This window comes from Homo sapiens, chromosome 2 (genome assembly GCF_000001405.40).
Source record: "Homo sapiens chromosome 2, GRCh38.p14 Primary Assembly".
Lineage (NCBI taxonomy): Eukaryota > Metazoa > Chordata > Mammalia > Primates > Hominidae > Homo > Homo sapiens.
In genome coordinates, this window is record NC_000002.12 from 18,915,458 (window position 1) to 18,929,817 (window position 14,360).

At 37.7% G+C, this 14,360-nt stretch overlaps 1 long non-coding RNA gene across 7 annotated transcripts in view; it reads left to right on the top strand.

Moving 5' to 3' along the window:
- LOC105373456 (uncharacterized) overlaps window positions 1–14,360 on the top strand; it is a 529,181-nt gene that overhangs the window by 355,282 nt on the left and 159,539 nt on the right. For 6 of the 7 annotated variants that reach the window (XR_007086234.1, XR_001739304.3, XR_007086229.1 and 3 more), the window contains one exon: window positions 3,756–3,920. This is a non-coding gene — a long non-coding RNA (uncharacterized LOC105373456). The remainder of the gene's footprint in view (window positions 1–3,755; window positions 3,921–14,360) is intronic. The other variant, XR_001739311.2, reaches the window with a different exon arrangement.

A 14,360-nucleotide genomic window follows, 5' to 3' on the forward strand; every position in this document is an offset into this window, starting at 1 on the left:
GTCTGAAACATCACTCTTACCTAGTTTCTACTTGGAGAGTTGACTCTTTCTTGCACCATTGTTTTAGAAAGGTCGTTTTCATATTGACCTAAACCCTATCTCCCTATTGCTTTGTTCCTTGCTCCTCATCTAAAAGCCCTGGGGTCCCTTCTAACCTAACAGTAGCAGACATGCAGAGGCTTCCTTTTCTTCTCTCCACCTTTCAACTTTCTTTTCTTCTAGGCACACCAGTCTTCACAACTCTTCCATGTAAGATGTGCTTTAATCTTTCTTCCCTCTCCTGTCCTCTCTTGTTTAGACCCACTACAGTTTGCCTAGAGAAATGTTTTTCCTAGAATAGAATATGACACTCCAAGTGAGATGAACACATCTCATATTCTAAAAACAAGATACTCAAAAACTAGGCAGTCTAAATATGACTGTTTAAAAATGTTAAAATCAGTAGGATCTCACTAATTGTTACACAACTTTAGAATTTTCCTCAAGATCATAGGATACAATACCAAATAAGTAAAAATGATAAACTGCAAATGTACATAGACACATGTAGATCTATATGTGCACGCATGGTGGTCCACTTGACAGAGGGTCCTTATAAACTGCATTAGGTCCAGAAGCTTCCAAAATGCCTTGAGTTCAATTTATGAGGTAGACTTTCTTTGGAGGTCTACAAGGCGTAAATAACTATTGATTAGCTTTTTAGAGACAGGTTTTTAGTAGAACCATGAGCAAGGGCATTACAGAAATGCCCCCAATGGGGTCATTTTGAGCTGACCTGGGACTACATAAAAATGGGAGTATTGAATGCTTAATGTCACATTTTATTGCTTGGTTCAGCTAATTTGTCTTGTGGGAAGCAAATGTTTTTGAAAGCATTCCAGAGCCTTTGTAGTGTTAAAGCTCATTACCTTGGATTTCATATGAGCCAAAAAATATACAACCAGCTAAGTGCTCTGAACCTCAGCAAAATTTCATGACTAGACATGGAAGCAAAGCTGTGTATACCATGTCATGCAAAAATGAGATGAATTTAGCAATTTGTATTTTTAGTAATAAAAGGAAGCATAATCAGTTTCAGAAACATTCCTTTGTTATTATTTTTAATGCTGAGGAATAAGTTAATGAACAGATTTAACACAGATAGAGCATATCTTCTTTAGGGAAATTACAACATTTTTTCTGTTAATACTGAACCCTCAATCCTGGTGTTTTCAGTGAGTTTGAAAAAAGACTGTACATATTTTAGCTAGGTAAAGTACTTTTTATATGCCAGAAAATATTTTTCAGTCATCTACAATAGACCCAGCCTTCGGTCAGGTTCTTTCCTGTAAATAATTAAATTATTACTCTTAAGGAATTGTTTATTCCATTTTACAGATAAGGAATATCACTATTCTCCTAAAGAAAAAATAATCAGGGATAAACAAAAGCCAGAAGAATGTTGTGCCTCCATATGGCCCTAAAGATGCTAACAATCTGATCCTAATCTACGTTGACAGACCTTGTTTTCCACTCATATCCTTAAGGTCTTCTAATACTAACTTATTGTGCTTGGTAGCGGTCATCAGTTTGTGTATTCAAAATTTCACGAGTTTGTTCTATCTGAAATATTCTCTTTTATTGACCCTGTGTTGAAATGATCCATCTTTCAACCATCTGAATGATTCTTTTTACAGGAAATACTCTTAGCCTTTACCTGACTTGAGAAGGGTCTCTATGTCCTCTTAACTCTTTGTCCATAAATGCTGAGAGAATAGTAAAACATTTTACTACTAATGGGGTGAAAAAATCAAAATATGAAATAAAAGCTTTAAAATGCTCTTTTTATTCTGTGAATAAACTGTGTATTATGACTTTTTACCAAGTGATATAAACCGGTATGCAAATTATTCATAGAATCATCCTTGTAATTTCTAATTCATTATTGACATTTCAACACTGTACTTGTGACCATTATTTTGATACAGTGTCACTAGCTAAATAATAACCCTGTTTGTAACTATATTTTGATGAGGCGATGAGCACATATTTTCAAAAACTTTTCATTAGAGAGCCTTTAGGTGATTGAGCTCAATAAATAGTTTTTTTTTTTAACCAACAGTTCTATTGTTCATGGTACCAAATCCTTTATCATCTTCAGCTGAACATATGTAACTACATGCATTACTTTTTAACCCATATTTTTATCTGAGATATTAATATAATAACTATATTATGATATAGGTCATCAAAAGCTTTTTTGGAATGTTATCTTTATAAACTTGATTTATAAACTTGATATTTTGCTCACCTTTATAGAGATTTGCAAACTTTCTTGGTTAAATTGCAGGATACACATAAATTAATTATATTTTTACCTTATGTCATCAAACTGTGGTGACATATTTGTATATCAAACATTTTCATAGCTATTTCCTTTGGAATATGATTATTTTTTCAAATATTTTATCATCTTTGTTTCTATAATATCTTGCTTCTCTTTCATGGTTATTTTGTCAGTTTCTCTAAATGGTGGCTAAAAGATGATATCCGGTAAAGTTAAGGCAAATATTGAATTTAGTATTCCATTTATTAAATTGCCATTTTCAAATTGTGCAATTTATCTAATTTCAGCATTTTTGAGTGCTTATTTAAGGTGCGATTTAATTTCCAAAGGCTTTTGTAGCTTTAGCACTATAGACTATTTTTGAGATTCAAATATTCTTTCAATAGTCATGATTTTGATTCTATCAGTATCTGTATGTCTCTCCTCTCTAATGTTCATTTGATGCATAATCAATATAATTTATTAATTTTTATTTTATTGTATTATATCTTCCTCCAGAGCAATTACTTAGATGTATCAAACAAAGACATCCAGAAATATTTCTCAAACTACGGGTGACTCTTCTACCTTTCTCCACAGCCATAGCAATTCCTATACAGCCTAACTTTTTTTATGTGTGTGACAGGGTCTGGCTCTGTCACCCAGGCTGGAGAGCAGTGGCATCATCATAGCTCACTACAATCTGGAGCTCAAGTGATCCTTCTGCCTCAGCCTCTCAAGTAACAGGGACTAATGACACATGTTGCCATGCCTGGCTAATTTTTTTATTTTTACTTTTTGGCAGAGGCAGGGGTGTCTCTACATTTCCCAAGCTGGTCTCAAACTCCTGAGCTCAAATGATCCTCCTATCTCAGCTTTCTGAACTGCTGGGATTACAGACATGAGCCACCACACCCTGCCAAGCATAGCCTTTTAATCTTTAGTTTCTTCATCAATGAATGAAGGGAAATATCTTTTCATATGTTTGTTACAAGAAATGAAATTGTATGTAAATGCAATTATATGTAAAAGCCTGACATACATTAAGCTGTCCATAAATTATGCTGTAATTATTATCATATGTAATGTGCAATTATTGTTTCTATATGTCCAGCACTTTTGCTCCCTTGTTTTGATAGTAGAAAACTTTTCTTTGGGATCTGCTCCTCCCTCATCGAAACCATGAGTTTTTGCATGCTTCCAGTTCCATTACCCCATTTTCAAGAGGCCATGTGAGCATAGGACTCAGATCCAGATAATAATAATGTTCCACAACTCTAGTGAGAGTGATTGATGTGGGAACAGGAATATGATCCATGCCATAGCAATCAGTGTTTTCTCTAGGACCCTCTTAAGTAGATCAAGTAGAAAAAATTCCTTTTCTTTCTAAGAGGATCATCACGGATTTCATGATTACAGACCTAGGGTAACCATGTCCTCTGCATTATAGGGACACAGGAGAGAATTAAGCTGACACCAGGAGACACAGCTGACACTGGGGAGAAGTGGTGAAGACAGCATCCTGGAAGAGGTGAGACTACTGTCTCTGAAGTTACTACAACTCTTCCATTAATTTTGTGAGCTTCCATCGTTTCCTACATGAACATTTATTAAAGTAAGTTGAGTCCAGCTTTTGTCATTTCTACCCAAGTGCTTTTCTGATAAGTATGTCAGCTTGTGTAATGATGAGCAACACTATAAGAAAAAAGCAGCAGGGCAGATGCATTTCAAGTAACCATGGTGGTGTTAGCAAGCTTTTAGACGTGGAAATCTCTCTACAACATAAGGAATAGCTACAGAGCCAAGGCTTCCAAGAGAAAAACAGTGTCACCAACAATGTCTTTAAGCTGTTTTAATCCTTTAAAATCTTCATGAATTGTTGCAATATTTGTGTGCTCTCCTACATTGTTTCCTAGCACTCTTCTAAAATGTTTCTTTATAAATTTAAATCATTCTAAAGAATGTAACTGCCAGCATATGATAATAAAATGTGAACATTAGAAGAATCCAATTATTCAGTGAATTTTATCCATTGGAACCTTAAAACTCACAATTTGACATCCACTAAAAGCCTTAAAAATATACTTGGTATATACATTTATTAAACATTTAAGGCCAGGCACCATGGCTCAAACCTATAACCCCAGCACTTTGGGAGGCCGAGGCTAGTGAATCACGAGGTCAGGAGTTCGAGACCAGCCTGGCCAATGTGGTGAAACCCCATCTCTACTAAAAATACAAAAATTAACTGGGCATGGTGGTGCACACCTGTAGTCCCAGCTACTTGGGAGGCTGAGGCAAGAGAATCTCCTCAACTCAGGAGGTGGAGGTTGCAGTGAGCCAAGATCGCACCACTGCACTCCAGCCTGGGCGACAGAGCAAGACTCCATTCAAAAAATAAAAAATAAAAGAAATAAACAATTGAAACATGTTCATAAATCCTTTCTCTCTTTCAAAACTCTTTCTTTTCTATATCCACCAAAACATTTTGTCCCGATATATTGAACTTTTATGCTTAAAGGCTGTGACTGATCACCCTATCCTACCACTCTTAAACAGAAGAATATCTAAAAATTGAGATATGATTTTTAGTTATTTCTAGTATTTTTCTGTATTTTAAGTGTTTTTCTTCTGGTTTGAGTTATTTTTTAGGTTAGTCATATGCAATCAATAAAAATAAATATTTTTGATACGTACTTATACAGTATATGAAAAATAAAATTTTGTTGAAAATGTAAAAAGAAGAAAAGGAATGAAAACAGTGAACTTAAAAAAATGGAAAAGATTAAACATAGATGTAGATTTTGGCTCATTTGACAAAAATCCCCTACGTGCTCCCATCAAGGCACTCTGAGGAAGGTCATGTAAAACAAATCCCTGGGGTCTTGGAGAGAGTGCCTGGCAGTAAGAAGATAGTGGGACATGGCTGCAGAATTAGGATTTTTTGTATATATTTTAAATGTTTTATTTTTATGGGTTTGGGGTGCAAGTGCAATTGTGTTCATGGATATATTGCATAATGGTGAAGTCTGGGCTTTTAGTGTACCCATGATCTGAACACCGTACATTGTATCCAATAGGTAACATTTCATCTCTCACCTACTTCTTGCCCTCCCATCTTTGGAGTCTCCAGTGTCTATTATTCCACTCTGTGTGTCCATGTGTACCCATTGTTTAGCTCCCACTTAGAAATGAGAGCATGTGCTTTTTGACTTTCTGTTTCTGAGTCATTTCACTGAGGATAATGGCCTCCAGTTCCACCCATATTGCTGCAAAAACATGATTACATTCTTTTTTATGGCTAAGTAGTATTCCATACCTATGGTTTTTATCCAAACATTCGTTGATGGACACTTAGGCTGATTCCATGACTTTGCTATTGTGAATACTGCTGCAATAACCATACAAGTGTCTTTTTGATAGAATGATTCCTGTTGTATTTTGGCACCAATCAGAATGGCTAGTTTAAAAAGGAAAAAAAAAATGTATATATATATATACACACACACATATATATGTGTGTGTATATAGAAAATACACACACCTATGTGCATATATATGTGTGTGTATATAGAAAAATACTAGAAATAACTAAAAATCATATCTCAATTTTTGTATATAATATATATTATGAAATATATATTTTATACTTCTGTTTAAGAGTAGTAGGATAGGGTGATCAGTCACAGCCTTTAAGCATAAAAGTTCAATATATTGGGACAAAATGTGTATATATATGTGTGTATATATACACATACGTATATGTGTGTGCATATATGTGTATATATACACACGCGTGTGCGTATATGTGTGTATACACACATGTGTGTGAGTATATATATATACACGTATGTGTGGTATATATACACATATGTATGTATATACATATATATGTGTATATATATCATGGCTGGGCATGGTGGCTCATGCCTGTAATAACAGCACTTTGGGAGGCTGAGGCAGGTGGATCACTTGAGATCAGGAGTTCAAGACCAGCCTGGCCAACATGGTGAAACCCTGTGTCTACTAAAAATACAAAAATTATCCTGGCACGGTGGTGGATCCCTGTAATCCCAGCTATTCAGGAGGATGAAGTCAGAGACTCGCTTGAACCCGGAAGGCAGAGATTGCAGTGAGCCAAGATCACTCCACTGCACTCCAGCCTGGGCAACAGAGTAAAACTCCATCTCAAAAAAAAATTATAATTTTAATTTGCATTCCTCTGATGATTTGTGATGTTGAGCATTCCTTCATGTTTGTTGGTCACTTTTGTGTCTTCCTTTGAAAAATGTCTGTTCATGTCCTTTGGCCACTTTTTAATGGGGTTACCTATTTTTCTCTTGCTGAGTTCTTTGAGTTCCTAGTAGATCCTTGGTATTAGCCTTTTGTGAGATGCATTGTTTGCAAATATTTTCTCCCATTCTATAGGTTATCGATTTACTCTTAATTATTTCTTTTGCTGTGCAGAAGCTTTTTAGTTTAAGTCTCATTTGTCTGTTTTTGTTTTTGTTGTGTTTCCTTTTGAGGTTTTAGTCATAAAATCTTTGCCCAGACTAATTAACTACAGGAACTACAGGATGTTAGAGTGACATAAGACTATAGAAACCATCTTTCACCTAATTCCTTCATCTTGCTGATCTTGGACATTAAGTGGAGTGAATTCCACACATGGAACTCACACAGAGTCACTAACACATGGTTAGTGACAGAGCTGAGCTGATTACCTAAGTATCCTGGTGCCTGCCGCTCTCCCCCACCACATACCACACTGCCCAAAAATGCTTGCATTAAGATGGAGCTTTGCTCTGCAGTGAAGCTGATTCTGTGCCTGGGCTTAGTTTCTGGCCATATAGGGGCTTGTCTGTCCCTCAAAGTGGAATAAGAGGGTAGATTTAGTGAAACCATCATGTTTGAGACCCCAGAGTCTAGTAGTAGTTAAAACTTCAGCTGCCCAGGCTTGTGGAAGCATCCTGCATGGAAGCCTGGGCTTCATGCAGTGCAGTGGATGCCATTTCAGACCAAGGGAGTGGTGTAAAGAGGCAACACTTCTTCCATATTGAGTTTCTATCTAACCGTGGCCTTTGTTCGTTCAACACACTTACATTGAACCTTCTCCATGTGCCAGGCCCGATGCTAACCCTGGGTATACAATGCATAGAAATGATTGCTGCCCTCAAGAAGCTCATAGTATGGTGACAAAAGGGTAAGTGCCACGTAAAATCAGAAGTCCCTTCATGCTACAGAAACAGAGCCGAGTGCACTTCTCAATTCTGGGGCTATAGACACCTTCATGGTCATTGTTGCTAGAGAAATAAGCATAGAGCATCAATTTCTACAAGTGCTGAAAATGGCCACCAGCAATTTTATTACATTTCTATCTAAATAAAAGACTGAGGTATAGGAGACCTGAGTAGCAGGCTTCTACTGTGTGCCAGTGCCCCTCTCTTCCTCTCTTAGCACTTGACCTTTATCCTAGGAAAAGCACTTACCACACTGAGCTGCAATTCCGAGGTCACCTATCTATTTCTTCTTGACTACAAACCAATGAGAGCATGGATCTCATATTTGTTCTGCTTATCTCCTGAACAAAACAGGGCTCTGCATAAAAAATAAAGACTCTGGGAATGTCTGTGAAATGGTGTCCTCTTTATTCTTAGACCAGTCCCTTCAGTGTACTTATCAGTAAAATGAGAGGGTTGAATCCTGCAGTGTCTAAGTCTTCCCTGATGTTCAGTACTAGTTTAATGAGATATCAGAGGTTAGCACAGACACCTGTGCGTGTGTGCATGTGTACCCATGTTTGTTTCAGGGTGGGCTCAACTAACTGGCAGGCACTTATGGAAGTGCAAGTGTGGGGAGGGGAGTACTTCTAATGCTTGCACAAGAAAGTGCCGCGGAGTAGAAAAACATGTGAAAAGGGACAATCTTGAACTCCCATAGGAGGGCAATATAACCAAGAAAAAAATCGCATCATCATGCATGAGGTCATTTGTCCAATCCCAGGCATTTTTATCCTTCGAATGACAGCGACTGCTGCAGATTTTTTAAGGAGAAAGATCTGAATTTGTGTACGGTATTTGCCATATATTTGGGAAAGTTTATTAATTCAGTTTTCTTACATACAAAATGGAGATAATAGTACCTGTTTCATAGAAAGGCAGAGAAGAATCAGTGAGAAAATATTAGTAAACCACCCATTACAGTGCCTGTCACACAGAATATACTAAAAAATATTATTAGTGTTATTTTTTTAACTGTGGAATTTTTTCTAGAGAGTAGCACTCTAGGCCAAGGTGTGCCTTTGGGAGCAGGACTCCAAAATTGTGAGCTTGCCTGGTTTTGTCACCTGACCTGGACTCTGAGCTACAGAAACCAGGTCTGTTGTATAGCCCACCTCAATGTGGAGAGAGAGCTGGTGTTCTTAGCCCAAACACAGAAGGAAGTCCATGTCACTCTGTGGTACTGCCCTGCTGGGCATTTGTTGTTGACTTACGTGTTCATGAGAGGGAACTCATCCTCAACTCTATGCTGAACCCTCCCTCCTTCTGAAAGCCATGCTTCACTCTCATCTGCCTCCTATATAGCAGCCTAGTTGTGTGTTTTGTTTATTTTGTGTCTTCTAAATGTTTAATCAATTATGAAACACCCTTCTGAGATTTATGACCTGACATCTTAAGCCAAGACTGACAGAGAGTCTTACTTACAAGATTGCCTGTGTGTGTATGTGAGCGTTTTATGCACATGTGTGTTTCTATCTATGTGTGAATGTATGTAAAAACTTTCTGATCTGCCTGGGATGGTGCCAGAGCTTTTGCCAGAGGCAGGCCAGAGGGTGATTCTGAAAACTTCTGTGTGCCGGGTCAGTGGGGCAGGAGGGAGGTCCTTGCACACAACTCCCATCTCTAGACTGAGTATCAGTTATGATACCCTCTGAAGAAGCAAACTGGGTGGAAAGTTCAATCACTTTCACACTCGCAGAAGCACCGATGCACCAAACACTCATTTAAATAAAATAAATGCATAAAGACTTAGAGCATATTATCATGTTTAGACTAAACCATTACAAGCATATAGGCCAGAAATTTAAAAAAGGTGTTATTCCTGAAAAATAAGATTGATTTTGGACTTCTTAAAACTTAATGTCATGAACCAGACATCCATAATTATATTATTTGTCTTATACAAATGAAAAAGAATAAATTAAAACTGGACATGTTGCAACGGGACTGTTGACATTATATACAAAGCCTGCTTATTGTCATAAGATACTCTTAACCTTCAAGCCAAAATCTTTCAAAACTATTAGTGTTAAATCTAGCAGCTGTTGTCAGAGTTCTCCTGTTCTCTGTTTTATGCATTGTGCTTTATTTGAAATGTTTGTTATATTTGTGTATATAACTTTCTGTGGGCTGTTCCTTGAAAGCTCCAAGGATTAAACATGAAGGTTGAGCCAGTTCAAAAGGAACAAAGTTAAGAAAATTAAAGAAAACTTGCTAAAATGAATGTTTAAACCATTAAAATATTTAGCAAGCTTTGCCTGGAGCTATTTCCTTTATGTAAAGCATGATGCATTTCTTTTCTTTCTCATTCTCTCTTTTCGAAAACAAATGAGGTTAAGAAAAACACACTTCTGCTCTGAAGGATTTTTTTTTAGCATTAGAAATTTAATATCTAAATATTTTATGCAAATAGATATGCTTGATTGTGGCAGAAATATCTCAAACATCCCAAGCATTTGGACCAGTGGTTTGTGACTGTATTAGTCAGATGAAGGAGATGCAGAGCTGAAGGGATTGTCCTCTTTGAACTTGGACCAGCCTATGACTTTACTAAGTCCTTAGGACTTAACTGTGTGGTAACAGAGAATATAGTTCTTCTGTACTTTTGAAAGGCAAAAGAGAGGATAAACTTTGCAGAATTCGATGTAGATATATTAGGCATTCTGATTTTATTTATTCAGTATGCTAAAGGAGAGTATTTGATTGATTATTTTTTTCGCACAAGAAAATACCCAATCTAGCTCTCTCCACTATTCCATGGCATTTAAAGTATTCTTCCTGTTCAGAAACGCCAGGCCTTTGATTTGTCCCAGCAGCCATCCACCCATCCATTCGGGGAAAGTGTGGTGTGATGGAAAAAGCACTAGCTTCAAGTCAAACCATTTTGTGTTCAAATGACATTTACTAGCTGCGTGACTTACGAAATTCAGTTAACCTCTTGAGCTTTGGTTTCTTCATCTGTAAGATATAATACCTACTTCATTGCGACATTTTTAAGAATTAAATGAGATAATGCACTTCAAATGTTTTGTTTAGTACCTGTCTCAATAAATGTTCAGAGAAAATATTCACCAAGAAATATTTGTCAAATACTTACTGGAACCAGTTACTTCCTTCATCCCCTCAGGTCTAGGAAACCTAAACTAGAATAGGAATCTTGAGAGTTGTCCTTTTGTAAGATCACCAACCACCTTTGCCTAGTACAGAAAGTACCATACTTTCTTGAAGGACAGTGTCCTTAAGTGTCTCAATAAGTTTTTCACAGTACTCATAGACCAAAAACATACTAACACATATTTCCCCTTAGTAAGTAGTTAGTTCCAAAAAAACTTGATAGGCATTTATGCCTTTGTAATCATTTGAAAAAAAAATAATATACTGAACATAACAAGGGAAAAAACATTTTTATTCCATTCTTTAAAAACTACAATTATGGCTGGGTGCGATGGCTCACGCCTGTAATCTTAGCACTTTGGGAAGCCAAAGCAGGTGGATCACCTGAGGTCAGGAGTTCAAGAAGAGCTTGGCCAACATGGCAAAAGCCCGTCTCTACTAAAAATACAAAAATTAGCCAGGCATGGTTGTGCATGCCTGTAATCGCAGCTTCTCGGGAGGCTGAGGCAGGAGAATCATTTGAACCCAGGGGGCAGAGGTTGCAATGATCTGAGATCACGCCACTTCACTCCAGCCTGGGCGAAAGCGAAATTCCATCTCAAAAACTAAAAAAAAAAATCTACAATTACTCACTAATGAGATGTGTACTCAGTGAACCCTGTGAAACCACAAAATTTGGAGTCAGCTTGAATGCTGACACTCTTGTTTCCTGTTTCACATTAATTTATATGCAGTGTGTGCTTTTTATCCACAACCACCAAAACAATTTTTGGTTATTTGCAAAAATATAGCATCACTGAAAGGGATGTGATACAATCTAATGTTAAAACTGTGCCCTACCTTGAGTCAGTAGTTCACATGATGCAATACAGATGCCAGTGTCCCTGGCTGTGTTCCCCTGGAAATTGATTTTTTCAGTTAAGAAAATTTAAAAGCCTGTGGCTTCCCTATAAATATGCTGTGGCATCCTAGGGAACCTGGGCACAAAGATTGGAAACCTGATGTATTAGTCCATTTTCATGTTGCCAATAAAGACATACCTGAGACTGGGCAATTTAGAAAGGAAAGAGGTTTAACTGGACTGACAGTTCCACGTGGCTGGGGAATCCTCCCAATCATGGCAGAAGGCAAGGAGGAGCAAGTCATGTTTTACATGGATGGCAGCAGGCAGAAAGAGAGCTTGTGCAGGGAGACATCCACTTTTCAAAACCATCAGATCACGTGATACTTATTCGCGATCATGAGAACAGCATGGGAAATACCTGCCCCCATGATTCAATTACCTCCCACTGGGTCCCTCTCACAACATGAGGGAATTCAAGATGAGATTTGGGTGGGGACACAGCTAAACTATATCACCTATAATCCTAGAGTGCCCGTAGAACATTTTTGTGTTGCTTCTGCAAATAAATTTTCTTACTTCTAGCCCCAATTTTGAATTCTCAAAAGGGACTGAGGTGCCTGTAGAAATATTGAAATAGTAAAGACTAGAACCTCTGTGCACTCACATCTATCTAGCCACTCAAGGTACAAAGGCCAGCCTCAGCTATGTGTATCACGGATCCTCTGACCAGGCTCCAAAGACAGAGGTCAAAGGGAGCAGGAGTTAAAGAAATACAGCCATCCACCAGCCTGCCTGACTGTTTGCTTAAGTAATAGCCAACTGGCTTTTTTACATAAAGACCAGCCATTCTACCTTCCTTTTCAGAATTTTAATAATATCTACTGCCCAGTAGCTTGTAGAGTCATAGAGTGCCACTCACAAAGTCACCAACCAAGTTTCTCCTGCTCAGAGCCTGGCATTATATTTAACTGGCTGTGTCTAAGTTTCCTGTTTCTAAACTTCCCTGGGCACATTGTCAAGACTGTACTTTCCCATGCAGCACTCTACCCTGCCCTTCACAGGCCCACCCCTTATACTGTGGCTCCAGTAATATTTCAATTAGCAACTTTCAGAGGTGCCAAAGACGCAAGCCCTAGGCTTTAGTCTGTTTATTCTTACACAAATGAATGTACATTTTTGTGCTTCAATTTAGAAACTACCAGAAGCCTGGAACTGTGCTATATTCTGTGGATGCTAAAGGGAAAGACTGAAATGCTCTCTTGCCCTTGGAGGAAAAATACTTAGCAGTTTCTGTTTTGCCGCTTATTGAGCTACAGTCTTACTTTCCTTGACAAATGCAAATCTCATGCTTTATCTTAAGGCTGTCATAGAGTGAGAGAGAGAGAGAGGAGGTAAAGAGGCTTTCTGGGGATGCTAGCTTCTCCTTCAGCTCTCAACTGGGAACCACACACAATGAACGATGGAAGACTGAGGACAAGGACCCACACTCATCTCTGTTTATGTAGATCCCCTGAGAATTTGCCAAGAAGAAAAAGGCTCCTGGCTTCTTAAAGCTTTGACTTGGCCTCTTAATGGGAAGACCAGTCCATAACGCCTTGCCCTGCTGTTGAATATCTGGAAAGACCTCCCTCCACTCCAATGTGCCAGAATAATTCTCCTCTAGCCCTCAAGTTAAAAGTGTCTGTTTCATACTTATTTAAAGAATGCGTCTTAAATTTATGTTACTTATTAAAAGTAACATAAATTATCAAATTTTCAAAAAGAAAACAATGTTACCCATAATCTTGTCAAGATAGAATATTTCCTTTCATTCTTTCTTTTAAAGTAAATTAGAAAAAAGAAAAAGTTGAACTCTCTGTATATGACTCTCTCCCCTGCCATTTAGATCCTGGCATTTCTAGGGCTTTCAGGTTCAAGGGTAACATGACCCAACTCTAACCTTACTCACACCCCTTACCTGTCCACTGAGCCATGTCCACTCATACACATAGGAAGTTCCTGTCTAACCCTGTGGAAAGAGTTGCACCCTCCAAATGGTTTCAGAAAGGGAAAGCCTAAAAAAAAGGTGTGGAGAAGAGTAGAAAAAAGTCTGGTGTAGTCAAAAAGCAGGAGTCATCACAGTAGAGGGACAGCATTTATGCTCTCTGGATCTTTTCTTCCTGAACCAAGTTGGAAATGCAGGTGAAGGCACAAAAGATCATTTGCACTATTCATGCCAGTATGCTCAATCTGGTTTCAGAAGCCTAGCAAGAATAGATCCCAGATTATCTTTCTCAGTACATTTTTGTAGGCCTTGTAATAAATAAAAATTCTTTCTAGATTTTGGCAATAGGCTGAGATTCAATCAGATCTAGTTTTTGAAGCTGAAGTGGGGGTGAAAGTGATTGGGGACAGCACATGAGATTCATAGCGATGAGTCAATACAAATTAAACAGGATTCAAAGGCCATTAATTTTATATACTTCTTTAGTAAGAGTTAAGCTATTTAAAACTAGATGATGGGATATATTGCAAGCAATTTGATTCATTTATTAGAAGTATAAGGATCTGAAAATTGCTGCAGATGGCACCTAAAGCCTATGGATGAGAGAAAATAAGAGTATGTGGCCTATAGGAAGGATTCAGACCACCCTTCAACTCTTCATTCATCACCTATTTGACAGCATTCCTACACAGGTATTGAAAATAAAGAAACAAATTTGAATCCCTTGTGATTTGTATACATGATGTGATTTATGTATTTCAACATTTCCCCATCCATCTCACCTTGCTATTCTCTGTATAGGTAGTTAGGATGTCCTCCTTTTACAGATGAAAA